The 20,832-nt window shown below is 37.7% G+C and overlaps 1 protein-coding gene and 1 pseudogene across 6 annotated transcripts in view; both read right to left on the bottom strand.

Moving 5' to 3' along the window:
• Positions 1-20,832, bottom strand: part of EDNRA (endothelin receptor type A) — a 63,858-nt gene that overhangs the window by 23,065 nt on the left and 19,961 nt on the right. For 5 of the 6 annotated variants that reach the window (NR_045958.2, NR_148963.2, NR_148964.2 and 2 more), the window contains one exon: positions 1,912-2,039. The exons of the other annotated variant lie outside the window; for it this stretch is intronic. Coding sequence is in view for 2 of the 5 variants with exons in the window: in NM_001957.4 (NP_001948.1) it covers positions 1,912-2,039 (128 nt within the window). In the remaining 3 variants the exon portion in view is untranslated. The remainder of the gene's footprint in view (positions 1-1,911; positions 2,040-20,832) is intronic. 6 annotated transcript variants of the gene reach the window in all.
• Positions 14,663-15,801, bottom strand: GTF2F2P1 (general transcription factor IIF subunit 2 pseudogene 1; annotated as a pseudogene).

The following is a 20,832-nucleotide window of genomic DNA, read 5'->3' as shown; positions in this document are numbered from 1 at the left end:
TTAATAAAAAGAAAAATCATATAGGAAGAACATGTGTGTAGGACACATTGTTCTTTTTTCAAAATGTCATGATTATTTTCCCATTTCTTTTCTCTACATGAATTTTAGAGTTATAACTAAAAAATTTAATTAGATATTATAATGAAAATACATGGTTACATCTCTGAAAGAAATGTAACTTGATGATATGCAGCTTGATGAATACAGGAAAAATTTTACTTGTATTAGCAATGTAATAGGTGCAATTTAATGCTTTTAATTTTTAGATAATATAACATTTTGAATGAAAGAAGAAATGATATTGGGATGCTGGGAGTGGGAACATCAGAGTGAGAATTTATTAGTGAATCAAATCCACATCATAAGTGTTTATTCAGCTTTTTATGGTCTAAGGTACCATGATCTCAAGATTATATAGTGGCCACCTATGGTATGTAAGTGTTTTTATGCAGCAGCCTTTAACATCTAATATAATGTAGATGTAACCCAAAGAGACCCTAGACTTTCCTACAAATCACTGAAGGGTATTATTAATAGATGATAAGGTTATTTCTGATCTTTGTGTTTACCATTGCAATGGGAACATTTTTGTCAATGGTATGATTGTGTTTTAAATTACTAATGAAATTATTTTTTGTGTTTTATTTTTAATAACATTTTTATTTTGTGTTTCACAGTTATAGCCATTTATTTATTTATTTATTCCTGGGCTCAGGTGATTCTCCCACCTTAGCCTCCTGAATAGCTGGGACTACAGGCATGCATCACCATGTCCAGCTAATTTTTTGTATTTTTGGTAGAGATGGGGTTTTCCTATGTTACTCAGACTAGTTTCAAACTCCTGGGCTCAAGAAGTCAGCCCATCTTGGCCTCCTAAAGTGCTAGGATTACAGGTGTGAGCCACCGTGCCCAGCTGACATAAATTTATAACAAGGATACCATTCTAATTTTCTAATTGCTGATTGAATGCACATTTTTATGTTTTAACAGTAACAATTTTTGTCCTAACAATAATTATAAATGTAAAATAACAGAATATCTGTAAACTCTTTAATGTTCTTTAGAAGAGTGAGCCTTTTATTTCTATAATGATGAGACTCAGGTTCCCTGATAAAGTGATTGTCAGGGAATGAGTTAGAATGAAAACCTCTTCTAAATTGTATGTAGGCTAATTAAATAGGCCATTATACACCACTTGTGTGAGATTATAGTAAATATAAAAGAGTGCCACAGAATGTGTTATAAAGTTCCTAATTTCATTCTTATAATTGCTGCTATGAAAACCAGAAGGTAAAGAAAATACCATCTAGAAGTTCACAGAATTCAGAAGGGCTTCTTTAGAGAACGCTTAACAATCATGCGTGCGGATTCTGGAAAGACTTCGGGACATTTGATGGAGTTTTCAGAATTGGATAAAGGGATGCTTCTGGTGTTGCACTCTTTTTAAAACTTATGAAACATTTCAGTCTTTCAAAAAGGCAGGGTGAAGAACATAGCAATATGGTGCACTTACCTCTCACTCAATTAATTAAACATTACAGATATAATTGAACAGTATCTTTTTTTATGATAAATTTACCAGGTGAAATATAGGATTTGCATATCCTGGAATCTCCTTTTCACAAAGTTTATTCCATCTAATATGTTAATTTTCACTTTATTGCCAAAAGGGCGTCAAATGGGTATTCTTGATAAAATGCTCTAGGTACATAATTGTCTGAGCCAAAGATGGCTAATAATCAGCAAATGTGGAAGGCAATTCTAAACAGCAAAGGCAAGATGGTTAATGCTTTAATTCACTTGAAGCTAATCAACAGCTGTCCTGGGCACGAATTCTCTTGACTTTTCTTCTTTTTGAGAAAAATGCTTTTCTAAGCCCAGCCAAAGAGCAAAGGGAAAGAACCACATTACCTGTCAACACTAAGAGCGCAGAGGTTGAGGACGGTGATCCCCACCGAGGACTTCTGCAAAAAGGGGAACAGCTTGCAAAGAAATACGCCAAAGTCATTGTGATCAAAAGGCCAGCGCCCAGCCAGCAGCTGAAAGAAGGAGACACAGTGGTAAGAAATGGTAGAGCTGGCACGGAGCATGTGGGCACTTACAGTTTTAGTTATGCGTCCCAACTTCTAAATTTTATTCACAGTGCTTTTCAGTTAGCACTGTAGCAAAAGAGTATTAGAATTGTTATTTTTTTCTTTCGTATTTTAAAGCCTCAGCAATTTTTAGTCTGGAAAGATATACAGATATAATTTATTATTATTAATATGTAGTAACATGAATATATTGTGATATATATTTAATACATAAAAATCAATATAGTGTATTAATATAATACATATATATTAAATATATTATAGTTATATAATACAATTTAATAACAGAAGAGATGTGCCTTTGATCTCACATCAACTAGTCACGCTGCCTACTTTTCAAACAGTAGTAAAAGTTTGGGATTTTGGGAGACAGCTCAACTGAGAAGCCGACAGTGGTTTTTTATCTGTGCTTACTAAACCATGAGTAAAGCAAATAATTTCAACTACTGGAATTGGCAGATTATATTGTCTCTGAAATTAAGAATGAAAGGTTAGGGAGAATACTGGAAAAAAACAAAGTGGTGTAGAAGCTACTAATTTTGGCAGCTAGCTAACACCTAAAGCCACTTTGAACTTACATTTTCCTCTGTGCTTAAGGGGCTGACTCTGCTTCAGTAGATGTGATGTAAGTGGCTTTTCTCTATTTAGGCTCAAACTTCCCCTTACTATACAGAAAAATGTGGTTACCTTGATCTGTTGGTATCACATGCAGAAAAATCTGTTCTTCCATGTTGACAATTTCCAACCTTGTTTGCAAGGCAAGAGTGGACACCCTCTAGTGGCTGTGCTGGGTAGCAGACACATAACAATAGCTACCAGTACTCTGTATTTGTCTAATTAGGTATTATACTAGGAGCATGGGCTTAAATAATAGCTCAGCTACCTAAAAGGGGGAAGGAAGTTCCTGCTGAACATATGATGCCTTTTCAAGTGTGAAAATGGTATTGATTTCCTTTCTAATTTTTTGCTTAGTGACTCAATTTAAACTTAACTCACTAGGAAACAGTATCCTACTAACTTGACAAACTCCTTTTTCTTTTTTTTTTGAAAAGTTCTTTTTGCCATAGTAACTCTAAGCTAAGCTTTGAATTTCTTTTCTACTATTTCCAAAAGATGATGTGAGGTTTAATTCCATGGTCAGTGTGATCCATAACACGAGTCCTTTGAAAGAGTTTGGGAAACCAGTACCCCGTAGATAAAGAATGAGAACTTGGTTACACAGGGCAGTCTCTCACTCTGTGATTTTTGGCTAAGACCCTATAAAACTTCATTATAGAGGTTTTCTCTCTTTAGTTTTCGTGATTACTTCCTTTCTTCTAAATAGTTTTTGAAAATAACCTTTTTCTTTAATCCAATAGTGCCTCTGGTTTCTTCTTCATCTCACTATAAACAGTCTCGATTGGTGTCTTCTCAAAATTTCCTCATAAACTTTTGTCCAAGGACAACCACAAAACTCTTTGCACAAACACTGCCTTCATTTCTTATGGTTTTCATGAAGCTGACAAATAATTATGCCATTGCTGACTGCTGGTTATTAATGCTTGGTGCAAGTAAAGACATAAAACACTATTTCTGAGATGAATCACCCTATAAAAACAAGAAAACCTGAAAACTACTTTTTATAGAATAAGAATTTAGAATTCTGGCTCAGAATTATAATTCTTCAAAGACCACAGATATATGTAATTAAAACAGTGTAGGCACGGTTATGGGATATACTCTGGAACAGTTGAATTGTTTGTTTGTTCATTCCCGGAGATTAAGAGGACCCTGATAATCCACATGAATGGATTTCCCAATTCACACATCTAACAATGAAAGAAAAGAAAAAGATGTTCTTGCTTAATAAGGGAGACTCTGAAATCCTGTGAAGGTCTCAGTGGCAAGTGCTAAGAAAATGATCCAGAAAAACCACAAATGAACATGGATTCTCTCAGATTCTTCCAATCTCAATTACATTTTTTCCTTTTACATGCTTCCTTAAACTTTTAACTAGGATTAGGTTAGGGTTAGGCATAAAGAAGGACAGAGAGGAAAGACATCATGGAATCAGTGGGAAGCAAAAAAGATCATGGAATTGTCTTTCTTTGAGACAAATAGGTGTGGTGTTGGTGGTGGTGTTCTTTTTCCTTTTCCTAGGAGTGAGCATTGATTCTTCTTGGGAATTATAGATAAAGGGGAAGGAAAGAAATCATTGGAGAAAATTATTAGGTGTAATCACTGTGTAGACTTCCCTAACTTGTATGTCCTTCATTCTGAAAGGATGTATGGGTAGTAAGTGTCCAATGCTGCTAGGAGGAAATTAGGTCCCTGCCTGTAGGCAACGTCCCCCTCTTTTCCTTTTCCTCTCTGGTTCCATGTGGCTTCCTCAAAGAGGCCCTCATTAACTATCTAACCTCAAGTAGAACCCGCTTGTTAATCTCTTCCATGGAACCAGTGTTGGAGCAGTCCTACATTCAAAGTGTCCTTTCAGCTTGCTCTGCTGGAGCAAGAGCAGGAGCAGGAGTCCTCATGGAGGCAAACAGTGGGGCTCACTGGTTTTCTCTTATTTAGCAGAAGCACTTGGAGCTTCTGAAGGACTACTGGGAATGCATCCTGTTATTTACTAGCACTTAAAATTAAAAATATAATACATAAGATGGTAAAAATTAAGCTGTATAAAAGCTTATATAATGCAAAGTTAAGTCTCCCTTCCAGTCAAGGCCCCCAAACTCCCTGCCCAAAGGCAACCACTGTTAATTGCTAAGTGTGTTTTCTTCCAGAAAACATCCTATGTACATAGAAGCATATGCTTTTTTTTTTTACAAAAAGAAAACAAGTGGGAACATATGGAAATAATATCTTTTAGTACTCCATTATGATCTTTTTTTCCTGGAGTAATTTTCTGGAGAGCAATTCTATTGCTTAATCAAAAAGTTTTGATTTTTAAAAGCATGTTAATGAAATAGACTAGGAGAGGAATAAATAAGTAACTGTTTAAGAGAATACATCCTAGACCATGGCAAAGAACTCACTGATTTCACTAATGTTAACAAGCAACTGTCAATTCAATGAAAAAAACAAAACAAAACAAGACAAAACAAAACCCAAAAGAGTCTGACAAGCTGACGAGTCGTATTGGTTCAAAGGGTTAATCAGGCACCTCAGATCAGTCATAGCTTATTTTTGCTACAAGAGTCTATGTACCCTAATATTTATAATTTGCCACCCTCATATTTATAATTTCCAAGGACATTACACAGTACCTAGCACATAGTAGGTGCTGGATGAATGGATGACTCCAACTCATTAAATCAGATCATATTTTCATAGTTTGAAATGAGACAGTACCAATTTTGCCCTGAAAACACATTCACTTTGAAATTTATTTTCTATTTGAAAGTTGTTTATCAGTGTCTCAAAGTAGTGCTCCCACTCTTTATGTTGAAAGAAACCTACCATCGAGTTGTTTGAGGAAGTGGGAGAATACTGTGCTATTTAAGAGTCTAGGCTGAAGAGAGGCTGCCATTTACTCTTTGCTTGGAGACATCTCACTTTGGGCTGTGATGAGACTGCCCACCTTCCTAAGAGCTGCAGGGCAGGCCCTTGGAGGTGAGGCACATCCCATGGTCTAAATGTACATCATGTTCTCCTCTTCTCAAGCAGATCACAGAAGAACACCACAGAAAGAATCGTGGAGACACAGAAGGCAATCTGCTGGGCCAGGATTTTACATGTCTTTGTTCTAACTCAGGGAATTTTTCTATAGTTGAAATATAGTTAAAGCCCCTGATCCCCACCTGAAAATGAAAGCTCTTCTAAACAGCAGAGATTAATATAGGAATTTTGCATTTGTGTGGTTGATTTGGATTGTATCAAAATCAACATCATAGAATTGACAAGCTGCATGTTTTAACCCATTAAAAACAGATTTAGGGAAGAACTTGTACCATATGATACACTGATATGCACCCTGTTTGTAGAATGGATAGAGCCAGATGGAGGATGTACATTCACCACTATATTTAGTGCAATGCAAGATCTCATTGGTTGGGACCTCTTAAGTATGGGGAACATATCTGTTTACATTAGTTTTCTAGAACATACCTGACAACCAGAAAGTAAACAAAAATGTAAGGAGCCAAAAAGTTGTGAAATTTATGCCCTAAAGCTCATGTGTGTTAGTCCTCAGCAAACTGCCTGAGTCTCCACCACAGGGGGACTGATTCTCACTCTACACCCAGTGGTGTAAAGCTTAGCTCTTATTGTGCTCTGGCCCATTGCACATCCAGAGCTGTTCATTAATAGAGACTCTCCAGAGGCATAGTTCTCAGTGTTGCCTGTATATTAGAATGATTTTGGGAGCTCTTCCATATCCCAGTGCCTTGGCCATCACCCTAGGCCAGTGCTTATCAACCAGGGGACAATTTTGCCATCCCCCTTCCCCCCACCACCACAGGGAACACTTGGCAATGTCTGAGATATTTTTAGTTATTACAGCTGGGGGTGGGTGTGCTACTCGCATCTAGGGGTAGAGGCTTGGGATGCTGCTAAACATTTTGCAATGTACAGGACAGACAACCCCAACAAATAATCATCCCCCCACCCAAATATCACTGGTGCTGAGGTTAAAAAACTGTGTCCTAGACCAACAAAATTAGAATCTTTGGAGTTGGGACATAAGCATTAGTAGTCTTTAAGGGTCCCAGGGGATTCCCAAGGACAGCCAAGGTTGTGAATAGTTGCTGTGGAGCAGCAGCTCCCAAGACTTAGCAGCTGCAGAATCACCTGGAGGGCTCATTGAAACACAGATGGCTGGGCCCCATCCCCAGAGTTCCTGATTCAGTAGGTCTGGGGCAGGGCCTGAGAATTTGCATTTCTAGCAAGTTCTCAGGTGATGCTGATGCTGCTGGCTCACCAACCATACTTTGAGGATCACTGCTCTAGAGGTGCCATGGTCAGCAAAAATGACAGCTGACAGTCAAATGGAACAGGAGGAGCAGAAAAAGGTATAAAATATAGTCACAAGAAATAAAAAATCTTGGGCTGGGTGCAGTGGCTCACACCTGTAATCCCTGCACTTTGGGAGGGTGAGGTGGATTGATCACTTGAGGCCAGGAGTTCGAGACCAGCCTGGCCAACGTGGTGAAACCCTGTCTCTACTAAAAAGACAAGAATTAGCCAGGTGTGGTGGCACGCGCCTATAATCCCAGCTACTTGGGAGGCTGAGGCAGGAGAATCACTTGAACCTGGGAGGCAAAGTTTGCAGTGAGCCGAGATCATGCCATTGTATTCCAGCCTGGGCAACGAGAGTGAAACTCCGTCTCAAAAAAACAAAAAAGAAAAAGAAAAAGAAAAAATCGTGTTGGGGCCATGTAGCCTGCATCCCCTTACACTCTCACCCAAAGACAATAGTCCCTAAAGACATCAGCACATAAAGTCACAGTACAATAACAGATGTTCTACTGCCCCAGGCCTCACCAGCTTAGCACTACAAAATAAGGCTGTTCTCCCCTATATTCAGGATGGGTTGTGAACCTATAAGATTTAGGTTCAAGTACGAGATTGACCTGTTGCTAACTGTGTGACCTTGGGTAAGCCAGTTCCCCGTTGTAAGTCTGTGTTTCTGTATTTGTTAAATGGGGGTAGTTCTCATACCTGCCACAAGGATATGATGCTCATTTGGGGTGCTCAAATGGGTTAATGCATATGAAAGAATTCTGCAAACTGAACATATAACACACAAACGTTATTTTGAATTGCTATAATTTGTAATCGTAAACTGAAACGTACCATTTATGCACAACCATGAAAATATAAACGAACTTATGCCTCTTTATCCATTCCAGATGTTAATATCCCCTGCTACTTAATCCTATTACTTGTACATTATTTTTGTTGTTGTCATGGCATCTTAAAATGGTACAAATAAAACTAGTGGCATATTTTTCTTTGTGCTGATTTTCCTCTCACCCCATCCTGTGAGGCCGAAGGGTTCTTCTCCTCTCCTTCATCTCCTGTTTGTCCTAGACAGGAATGAGGGATTTACAAATACAGTCTGTAATAGCTGCAAACCTCAAAGCAAGGAAAACCTTCTCTTCCCTTCAATATGAATTATTATAGGGTCGCTTAGAATTGGACATGACTGACCAGGTATCAGGCTTTAAAAACTGAGGTTCTGAGGTTTTTCTTTCTTTCTGGGGAAGGGACTGGGATGTAAAAGTTGGTACATAGTTGACTCAGTAGCAAACAAAAACATCTTCCAACAGCACAGACTGAGATGATTATAAAGATTGTGATGCCCAGGACAGGCCATTTATGAGAACGTGCTCTCTGGCCACTGCAGATACTACGAAATAAGTCACTGTGTGTGACCAAGAATAGATTTTGTTCTTCTGTTATGCATTAATTGCTTCAGGATTGAGACAGAGCATTCATACAAATGTCATAAAAGCTATGGCCTCTCCCTATCCCCTATCCATACACTTTTTCCTTTGAACAGGCTTTTCTTGCCTCCTGACCAGTCCAAGAATTCAGGATGTATGACAAATGCAGAGTAGAGCAGAAATTCCATAAATGGTTTTGACTCTGGCCTTAGGTGCCCTCCCTGAGCTGGGGGGATGGAGAAGCCCTCCTTGTAATCAAGGCAGCTGGCTTGGCATAGTAGCTCAGAGCGTGGGCCCTGAAGCTGGATTCCTTGGGGGCAGACTGACCCCAAGCTCTGCTGTCTTCCTGATCTTTTGACATTGGCATGCTCGTTAACCTTTGTGCCTGTTAGTTTTCTCTTCTATAAAATGAAGATCGTTCTGGTAGCTACCACAGAGGATTACTGTGGGCCAGCGAAGAGAGAATCCAGAGGAAGGGCTTGGCAGAAGTCAGAATATGGAAGTGTGAGCCATAACTATTGATGGTTCATGGTTATGGTCACCCATGGTCCAGGTCACCAGGTGCAGGGTGGTGGCAGGCCACACAAGAACAAAAGACCCCACCAGAAGATAAGCAGAAATAACAGCTTCTCAAGAAGCTCTAAGCAATCTTCCCTGGGAGCTCCACAGAAGAAGAGGGTGGTGTGACCTAACAGTAAAGAGAACAGGCTCGGGTGACTTTGTCCCCTGGCGTGACTTAGACATGTTAACTGTTCCTCATGGAAAACTGCAGATAAAGAGAGTGCCCATGCATATGGTTGATGTATTAAATGGGTTCATACATGAAAAGCACTTACAGCAGGGCCTGATCTATAGCAAATCATAAATGTTAGTTCCCGTAGGAGATGGATTCTGAGGAACTGCTTCTTGCTAAACTGCATTTAGATGGAAAGAGATGGAATTGTTGCTACTCACTAACCACATCTTTCACTACTGAATATTCGGTGTTTCAGTCTCTGTTGAGGTCTTCACTTTTTAGAATCTGAAATACATAGATGTTAATAACAACAAGGTGGATGAGAGGAAACAAGGAGAAAGAGAACTTTTTAAAGCCAGAGTTCCAGAGCCATGAAGATTTTTTCCTTTGAGGATAGATTATTCACCCAAGATATGGGCTTATCACCCCTGAGAATCTCAGTCACCTGAAGCCTGGGAATCAAGAGGAATATCTCTTTTTAATAACTCTCTTTGCTGTAAGAGTACCAATCCAAAAGTGAGGGACTTGAGGCTTTTACTTATTTTGTAAGCATATGACCAAAGGATCATTGGATAGAGAAGAATGGAACTTTAGAGAAGAAAAATTAGAGAGCCTCAATATTGAAATTGCAAGGTTTGTGCTGATTGTGTGTGTCAATACTTTAAGGTTTAATTCATAATGGAGAGGAGATTCATGCTAGAAAGAAAGACCCTGGTTTTCATGGAATGGAGAAAAGATTTTCCATGTGTTGTGAGTGGAGCCCTACATCTTGTCATAAAAACATACAAGCACAGTTTTGGGCCTTATTGTGTGTCTGGGTCAGAGCTCCCATCATAGAAATGGGGTGCTTTGACCCGGACAGACAATAAGTCCCAAAACCTAATGGAAAAGTTTTATAGTTGATTTTAATCATCAGTCTCTATGGTCAGACATGCTAGTGCCTATTTAAAAGAAACAGGCAGGCAAAACCAAAGCAGAACAAAACAAGATAAAACAGAATAGCAGAGATCCCCACATACAGATTTAGGTAGTGGATCCCAAAATCTTATCAGTGATGTAGGTGATGATGAATAGGAAAAAGGGAAAACAAATGGCATATTTGAAAGTATGCAGCTGATTTAATGATCTAATGTATAAGTTCTGAAGAAACTTAAGTTCTTTATTGTAAAATGTGTCATGTGGTCACAATTATCCTGAGTGTAGATGGAAAAAATGAGCCAAAAAAGATATGGTATGCAGCATGAGCAAAATAATACCATATGTGTGTTTCGGGAAAAAAAGAATAAAGTAGAATAAAGTTGATGCTCTCACTGACTTGATAGTAAATAAGATTGAGGTGATTTTGAATATTTAACAACAGAAATTCATTAGAAAATAAAACTTCACAATTACTCATAATTGAGGCATTAAGCAAAATAGAAGACAAAGTCAGGATGGCTGGCTTACTAATCATATTATGAAACTTCAGATAAGAATGGCATACATTTTAATAATTCACTATAAAGTTTTAGAAGCCAGGCTGTCTTCTAGGGAAATGCAATTTGTGGTGTCGAGAGTATTAAAACCACAAAAGTTCTATTGAATGCAGAGATGGAAGGATGGAACATACTAAAGGAGAAGTTAGAAATGCTGGCTTCCAGTCTAGCTCTGTCAAAAATCTAGAAGATTTAGCTCCCTCCTCTGCCAAACAAGAAATGTTAGGCTAGAACTAGATACTCTCTGAATTCTCTACCAGCTCTGAAATTGTACATTATTTTCATATCAGAACTCTAGTCTGTAACTAGTTTATCTGAAACTATTATTAACTCCATTTATCTCTAAGCTAACCTGCACCCTTCCCTGTACTGTATATGATTAATTTTGCTTTCTCAATTTCTTTTCATTCTTCCCGTGAAAGAGTGCTTCAGTCCCTTTTTTTCTACCTAAAAAGATTAAGGATGTCAGAACTTGGAGAATCCCACATATTGAAGCCTTGAGACTATTTATTTGCCTTGAATATATGAACACTATTTCATTACTCTCAAAGGAAAAGCTAAAATGTATAGTAAATTTGCCCAGTGAGCTGTAAGCATCATATTGTATACATAATTTGAATTACATATAAAATGTAGAAAAAATATCAGTTAAGTGGAGATTTTAAGCTTCCAACCACGGGTCTGTTATAAACAATAATGTAAAATTAAAGCTACTTGAAAAAGTTGTAAAAATTAGTTTGATGTTACTTTATGTCTTATGGTCATTTGGAAATGAGATAACATTAGGTTGTACTAGCCTAGAATGATAGATTTTAACCTAGTTTTACTTCTAGTCTTGAAGTTTGATATATGTTGTATCTCTACTATAAGCATTTTGTTTATTTTTAGTAGAACAAAAAATATACAAATTTGAGGTCTAATACAATCAGCCTACAGTGACACTGGGTTCCTTTCCTAGACACCTGCAAACCCAGAGAGCCTTCTTTTGCCATTTTCTTGAGATTAGGACCAGTGTTCTATTTCCTTTCCATCTCTCTCAAAGGACTAGATACATTGTTCCACATGCAGCAATTGCCTAAGAAATATTGACTGCCAAGAAAACCAGCCATTTAAGTAAATGTTGTAAAGTCAAATCTGATCAACACTGTTCATCTTAGGTTTTAAAAATTATAGCATTTTACACTTGGATGGGAGCTTAGAGACCATCTAGATCAGCGGTCCCCAACCTTTTTGGTACCAGGGACTCGTTTTGTGGAAGACAATTTTTACATGGACCTGGCAGCGGGGGCAGGATGGTTTTGGGATGACTCAAGCATATTACATTTATTGTGCACTTTATTTCTATTATGATTACATTGCAATATATAATAAAATAATTATACAACTCACCATAATGTAAAATCAGTGGGAGCCCTCAGCTTGTTTTCCTGCAACTAGATGGTCCCATCTAGGGTTAATGGGAGACAGTGACAGATCATTAGGCGTTAGATTCTCATAAGGAATGCACAATCTAGATCCCTTGTGTGTGCAGTTCACAAAAGGGTTCATACTCCTTTGAGAATCTGATGCTGCTGCTGATCTGACAGGAGGCAAAGCTCATGAGGTAATGCGAGTGATGGGGAGCAGCTGTAAATACAGAGGAAGCTTCACTGCTTGCCTGCCACTCACCTCCTGCTGTGTGGCTGATTCCTAACAGGCCATGAACTGGTACTAGTCTGCAGCCTGGGGGTTGAGGACCCCTGATCTAGATCACTGGTTCTCTCAGTGTTGTATGCAGACCACTGGGGAACCCTGGGAACCTTCCTTGAGGTCTGCAAAATCAAAATAACACTCAGAGATTACTGCCTTTTTTCACTGGTTGACATTTGCACTGTTAGTACAAAAGCAATGGTAGGTAAACTGCTGGTGCTTTCGCATGAATCACGACCGTGGCACCAAACTACCTAAAGGTCATTGTACTCTTCACCATCACACATTCGCAGGAAGAAAGCTGATGCTGCAAAAGGAATAGAACTTGAACAAAGTCATAGGATCCAAGATCAATATGCAGAAAACAACTGCATTTCTGCATACTAGCCATGAAAAATCTAAAAAAATTAAAGAAAAATTCCATTCAAAACTGTACCAAAAAAGAATAAAATAGTTGAGAATACATATAACAAAAGAAGAATTGATATTATTAAGATGGCAATTCTCCCCAAATTCACCTAAAGGGTCAATGCAATTCCTATCCAAATCCAAGGAAACTAACAAATTCATCTTAAAATTTACATAAAAATATAAGGGATCTAGAATAGCCAAAACAATTCTGACAAAATGCAAAGTAGGAGAACTTATAGTACTTATTTAAAAACTTACTATTAATATAAAGCTCCAGTAATTAAGACAGGATGGTATTGGCATAACAATAGAACACAGGTCACTGGACCAGAAAGAAAGTCCAGATACAAGCTCTTATATTTATTGTCAATTGAGTTTTAATAAAGGTCCAAGGCAATTCAATGAGAATAGTCTTCAAAGAATGGTGTTGAAAAACTGAGTATCCATATGCAAAAAAATAACTTAGATGCCTGCCTCATATCATACACAAAAATTTAGCCAGAAAAGATTACAGAACTGAATGTAAGAGCTAAGCCTCTAAAACTGTTCAAAGAAAACATAGGAGAAATTCTTTGTGATCTTGGGTTAGGCAAAAATTTCACAGATAGGACACTAGGGCATGATCCATAGAAGAAAAATTTGATAAACCGGATTTGATCAAAATAAGAATTTTTGCTCTTCAGGCTGGGCATGGTGGCTCATGCCTGTAATCCCAGAGCTTTGGGAGGCCGAAGTGGGTGGATCACCTGAGGTCAGGGGTTTGAGACCAGCCTGGACAACATGGCGAAACCCCGTTTCTACTAAAAATACAAAAATTAGCCAGGCGTGGTGGTGCATGCCCGTAATCCCAGCTACTCTGGAAGCTGAGGCATGAGAATCGCTTGAACCCGGGAGGTGGAGGTTGCAGTGAGTGGAGATTGCCCCACTGCACTTCAGCCTGGGTGACAGAGCGAGACTCCATTTCAAACAAAAAAATAAATAAATAAAATAAAGAATTTTTGCTCTTCAAAAGACATGAAGAAAATAAAAACAAATCCGCTAACTGGGAAAAATATTTGCAAATCATACATCTGATGAAGGACTTCTGTCTAGAATCTATAAAGAACTCCTATAACTAAAATAAAATAAATACTTAATTAAAAATGTGCAAAGATTTAAGTGAACATTTCACCAAAGCAGATACATAAGTAGGTAAGGACATAGAAAATGCTCAACATCCTTAGCCATTAAGGAAATGCTAGTTAAAACCACCACGGGATACCACTATACACTATTAGAATGGCTGTAATGAAAAAGACTGACAATAATAAGTGTTGGGGTGAGGATGTGGAGAAATTAAAACCTTCATATAAAGCTGGTGGGAATGTGAAATGGCACAATTTTTTTGATGTTGATATAATCTACCAATATTATTTTATTTCCCCAGTTTCACATATACTAATTTGTGTGCATTTAGCTCTATGCAATTGAGTAACATGTGTAGGTTTGTGTATTTATCACCAGTCAAGATACAGAACAGGTTTATCACCGCAAGGATCCCTTTTGATGTCCTCTTCTACCCATATTTCCCTTCTCTCCCCTTCCCATTCCCAACCCCTGGCAACCATTAATCTGTTATCCATCTCTATAACTCTATCATTTCAAGAATGTTATATAAATGGAGTAATATAGTATGCAATCTTTTGAGATTGACTTTTTTTCACTTAGCACGGTTCTCCGGAGATTCACCCAGATGGTTGTGTGTAACAGTGACTTGTTTCCTTTCATGCTGAGTAGTAGTCTCTGGTATGGATGTACCATGGTTGGTTTGACCACTCACATTGAAGAACATCTGAGTTGTCTTCAGGGTTTGGCTATTACAGGTGAAACTACTGTGAGTGTTAATGTACAGGGTTTTTTTTTTTCCCCCCTCAAAATAAGGAACTTTGGCTTTTTATTCCTTTTAAGAATTTCTGTAGTTGACTGTTTTTTTCTTGCTATATTATTCTCTTTGATTCTGTACTACCTCAGCTCCTCAGAGATACAGCAAGGGCAGAGAGTCCTCATTTAAAAACCATTTCCTAATTTTACATGCTAAAAGCTAATATTTAAGAGAAATCCTCTTAATCCTCCAACCCTTATTCCCATTGTGAATAGCCTGGTTTAATACAAGTTAAGTCTATAAATAAATTTGTTCTTTCTCCTCAAAAAACACTGAAGAAACTTTACAACAGTTATAGGTTTAGAAAATTTACCGAGAGAAAGGAAAGTATTGCCACTTAGCCCCCATTAACATACGGTGTTCAAGCCTTCCAGTATCAATGCGTTTTGCTTAGCATCACTGTTGTTTCACTAACATGCTGGCTAGGAGCCATCTTAATCACTCATTTCTTCTCCTTGGTGATGTCTGTACTCTGGTTTCAGCTCCCACGTGTTTTTGTGGATCTCTTTTACATTCTGAAGACCAATTTAAGAGTTCCCTCAGGTATACCACAGGTTGTTTTGTGATGTCCACCAAGTCCTTAAGATGATAATATTGATATTTCTAAAGGCTGAAAATAGCATGTCTGAAACGTGTTGTTTATTAGCTGGAGCTTATTTTCCATCTGTTTTCTCTTTCCTTTCACATTCAGTATTGTATTGATTAGCAACAGGTTCAAAACTGGCTGTTACAACTTTGTCCAGTTGTTGTGATAGCCTTACAGGTTTGGAAGATTCCTCTATTTGCAATCTTTTTAATCTCATGTACTTTTCACTGGCAGTCTGTTGGCATTCAGTTCTTTGTACCACTATTCCTTCCGAAGACAGCTTATCTGATGAGCTCTCAGTAAATATTGTTCATATATGGCCTCCAATATTTTGCAAGACAAATGGATGTTCTTTATGAGCACTGACTGAAGCTGCTTTTCGGCCAATATCATGAATATTTGCAAGATCTTCATTCAAAGTAAATGACACCTCAGTCCTTCCTTGAGTCTTGGCAATCCACAGTTTCCCAACTTCACCTCTTCCAGGGGCTTTAGCTCATTGCTGTGACAAATATTCAGGAACCTGCCAGGATACTGGGAACCCAGGGAAAGAGCAATGTACAGGTTTTTGCATGAACAAAATTTTCACTTCTCTGGGATACATGCTCAAGAGTGCAACTGCTGGGTCTTATGGTAATTGCATATTTAGTTTTATAAGAAACTGCCGGCCGGGCGCGGTCACTCACGCCTGTAATCCTAGCACTTTGGGAGGCCAAGGCGGGCGGATCTCCTGGTCAGGAGATTGAGACCATCCTGGCTGACACGGTGAAACCCCGTCTCTACTAAGAATGCAAAAAATTAGCTGGGCATGGTGGCGGGCACCTGTGGTCCCAGCTACTCGGGAGGCTGAGGCAGGAGAATGACGTGAACCCAGGAGGCGGAGCTTGCAGTGAGCCGAGATGGCGCCACTGCACTCCAGTCTGGGCAACAGACTGAGACTCTGTCTAAAAAAAAAAAAAAAAAAAAACTGCCGGCGGGGCAGGGTGGCTTACGCCTGTAATCACAGCACTATGGGAGGCTGAGGTGGGTGGATCGCCTGAGGCCTGGGGTTCGAGACCAGCCTAACCAACATGGTGAAACCCCGTCTCTACTAAAAATACAAAAATTAGCTGGGCATGGTGTTGCACACCTGCAATCCTAGTTACTCAGGAGGCTGAGGCAGGAGAGACTTGCTTGAACCTGGGAGGCGGAGGTTGCAGTGAGCTTAGATCATGCCATTGCACTCCAGCCTGGGCAACAAGAGCGCAACTCCACCTCCAAAAAAAAAAAAAAAAAAAAAAAAAAAATGAAAAAAGAAACTGCCAAACTCTCTTACAGAGTGGCTCTACATTCCGTTTCCACCAGCAGTTTCTCTTCATCCATGACAGAATTAGATGTTGTCTCTCTCTCTCTCTCTCTTTTTTTTTTTTTTACATTTTAGCCATTCAGATAGGGTGTAGTGATATCTCACTGCGGTTTGACTTGCATTTCCCTAATGGCTAATGATATTGAACATCTTTTCATGTGCCTATCTGTCATCTGCATATACCCTTCAGTAAAATTTCTGTACATGTCTTTTGTCCATTTTCTATTTGGATTATTCATTTTTTTTACCATTGAGTTTTGAGAATTCTCTGTATATTCTAGATATGAATCCTTTTTTTTTTTTTTTTTTTTGAGACAGGGTCCCACTTTGTTGCCCAGGCTGGTATGCAGTGGTGCAATCTCGGCTCACTGCAACCTCTGCCTCCCAGGTTTAAGTGATTCTACAGCCTCAGCCTCCAGAGTAGCTGGGACCACAGGTGCATGCCACCATGCCTGGCTAACTTTTGTATTTTTTTTTGTAGAGATGGAGATTTGCCATGTTGCCCAGGCTGGTCCTTAACTCCTGAGCTCAAAGTAATCTGCCTGCCTTGGCCTCCCAAAGTGCTGGGATTACAGGCGTGAACCACCGCACCCGGCTGTTGTCTTTTCATCCTCTTAACAGGGTCTTTTGCAGAGTAAAAGTTTTTGATTTTGATAAGGTCCAATTTTTTTTCCTTATGGATCATGTTTCATGAGTTTCCCTTAAGATATCCCTGTTGAAGCAGCAGAGAAATTACAAATTTTTAATATATCTTGAGCTTAGGTACATGTCTTTTTAATATTCCACGTGACAAAGGATTGGTGGTGATATTAACGAATGTAGTTTTTTGATATTATGTAATTAAATAAGGCAACATTGAGAAGATCCTTATAATTGGTAAACTAGTAATTCGTAACGGCCAATATCTGATGTTGCAAAACCATGCTTATGTAAACGATCTATGCAAAGTACAAGAGAGACAACATATTTTAATGTAGTAGTGTCTGAAAAGTTCATTAATATGGTTTCACTTTACACATTGCAACTAATCTTTACAGAACTGCCAATGGGAGAGTTTTGATGTCGTATCAAAGAATATTCGCAATTATCTGAAAAGACGATGAAAATCCTCATCCTTTTTTAAACGACATTTTTTTTTGTGAGGCTAGAGTTTTTTCATATGCTTCAACCAAAACAACATAGTACAACAGATTGCAGAAGCTGATATGAGTTTTAGCTGTCTTCTATTAAGCCAGACGTTAAATAAACAGATTTGTAAAAATGTAAAACAATGCCATTTTTTCGCACTAAATAATTTTTTTGTTTTGGAAAATATAATTTTTTTCATAAAAATATATCATTTATGTTAACATTTAATGGGGTTATGTTCATGAAAATTAATAAATATTTTTTATAAAATGATCAGTTTTAACTTGTAACATCATAAATATCCATCAATATAACATACATGAAGAAAAATTTGGTGTCCTCAATGATTTTTCCGAGTATAAAGGGGTGCTGAGAACAAAAATTTGGAGAAACGCTGATCTAGATTAATACTGTGTTTTGACGACGAAACTCTGAAGGTCACATAGCTTGTCAGAAGCATCTTTATAATATTTTTAATATTTAATTTTCTTTGCTGGTATAGCAAAAAATTACAATCTGTATTTCTCTTCCTTTCAAAATTTTGGTAATCACTTTTTTGAAAGAGGTGGTTGCAATTTCTAATCGACTGCAACTTATAATGATTTCTATCTACAATGAACAATATAGTGGCAGGCATCAGTATGGTTCAATACAGAGGCAGCTGAGCATTTGTTTCTACACATGGGAACTAAAGGATCTTTTCCTGCTCTTTCCTGCTTCCTGTTCCCTGTGACTTCTGCTTGTCCTGGGAGCTCTGCCTAGATGCTGGAAGCTCAGTAGATTGAGAGTGTTGTCACTTAGCTCGCTCAGGACAAGACTTGCAACCAAGGTATTCATCCAGTTGAGTAGATTATGTATTACCTACATTAATTTAGAATTGGCTTTCTATTAATTTCTGCTAAAAAGAAGTGTGTGTGTATGATGAATTCAACAAAGTGAAGCCTCATATCTATAAATATTTTGTACAAAATAAATTTTAAAACGTATCTGAAAAAATATAATGGTGTTTTACAATTCTCCCAAATTTTAAAATGACATTTCTCTTTTTTATCCAAACTAAAGCTCTCAAAACAAACTCAAGGCTGAACAAAAGAAAATGTAAAAATATTATTTTATTTACTGGAAAGCCATTGTTTTCTTAAAAAAACTAAACCTACGAATTTAGGTACAAAATTTAAATGTCAATTTCAGGCTGAATTCATACTACATGAAGTTATAAACTAAATAAATGAAAAAAAGCAGTCATATCAGTCCTAAAAATATAAAGTATTTCAGCAATTAGGCTAAATACATATTTTTGAAGAGATACCTCCCATTCTATCATCCTAGATTATTTCCAAAAAAGCTACAGACATGTTATCACATGACATTAACAGTCAGTTGTCACCGTAAAGTTGTCATTCAGAACGTCTGTCTCAGTCCTCAACTACTGCCTGAACAGTGGAAAGGTCTGGAGTAAAGTTTGGATATTGGCTTCTAGGTTTTTCATTCTGATCTGTGTCAAAAAATGGGAGTTGGAAACTGGATGGAACTTAGCTACTTCAATTCATAAATTAGTTTTCAAAACTGTAATATTTGGAAAAAGTACAATTCTTCAGACTCAATGCACAGGCTTATCTTGGTTTCAACCTGAAATATCAAAAAGCTGTTCAAGTTGAAGATGGAAATAATTTGGTTCCATTATGAGTACTTTTTTGATATATAAATGACAGGGAAAAACTGGCACAAATGCTTCACAAATCCTTCTTCTAAATATCAATAATTTAATAATTAGAGTTTATATATTTGACAATTTTCAGGTGTATGAATTCTGAAATAATTTAGTGTATAGAATCCACTGACAATCAGTGATTGCTTCAGAGTAGAAAAAATATCTAATTTTCTATGATACTTTCTTGAATTAGTGTCCTCTTCATTATGGGTAAAAATGTATACTTTTGCAAGAGTAAATGACACATTAAATTATCACTGGGCATTTGATTCAGTGACCCAATACGTTTCCAAAATTAGTTTCCTATTTTTTCACCATTTTTTTATAGGCAATCTTAGCATATAGGAACAAAAAAAGACTTCCTCCCTGACATTTTCTATTTAAGATAATCCAAAGGAAAGAGAAATGCCTAATCTAAAAATATGTTTAGGCAATGGGGAAATAGGAACTCCTACGTTGCTAATGAGAGTGCAAGACAGCACAATTATTATGGAGGACAATTTGGCAATTTATATCAAAGTAATACAGACACTTGACCTATGGCACAGGAATCCTATGTGTGGGAATTTGTCATATAGGTGTACCCACAGATATAAACATGACATGCATATGGTTACAATTGTAGCATAGTCTGCAAAAACAAAAGATTGGAACAATTGATTATATAACCTATGGCACTCTCCCACAATGGGATACTATGAAACTATTTAAAAAATGAGGCAGCTTTTCATATATTGATATTCAGAGATCTCCAGGATGTACTGTCAATTGAAAAAAGCAATGTACAGAACATTGTATAATAAACAGGGGAGAGAACAGAAATATATATTTGGATTTTCTTATATTTGCATGAAGAAACACTGGAAAGATACAGAAGAATCTTTTAAAGGTGATTCGCTATAGAGGGTGGGAGTGGGGAAATTTGGTGATCAGGACTGGTCTAAGAGGAAGACTTCTCAATGTGTACCTTTTTCTACTTTCTTGATTTTTGATCCATTTGAATATATTCCCTATTCAAAACATGAAACATTAGGATTTTCTCTAATTTATACAAAGGCATAAATGTGTGAGACTGTACCTCCTACTAGTGTGGGAACTGCCCCTGCACAGGCATGTTTTTAGTAGAGAAGAGGTAGTCTGAACAGAATATGGCATGTACCAAGAATCACAACCTAAAAAGTAATTGAAGGACAAATATTGAGCCCTCAGGCACTTACTTTTCTCCACTCATTCATTTATCCAAAATTTCTGGCTAAGAAAAATATACTTCATTAGACATCTTCGGTTCTAATACCAGCTTTTTCTTCTGGGCCATTTCCACAAATAAACTAAATGTTTATCACTTCATGAGGGTTCACTGGAGCTACTGCAA

This window comes from Homo sapiens, chromosome 4 (genome assembly GCF_000001405.40).
Source record: "Homo sapiens chromosome 4, GRCh38.p14 Primary Assembly".
NCBI lineage: Eukaryota > Metazoa > Chordata > Mammalia > Primates > Hominidae > Homo > Homo sapiens.
The sequence above is the reverse complement of the archived record's forward strand: the minus strand, read 5'-3'. Positions and strand labels throughout refer to the sequence as shown.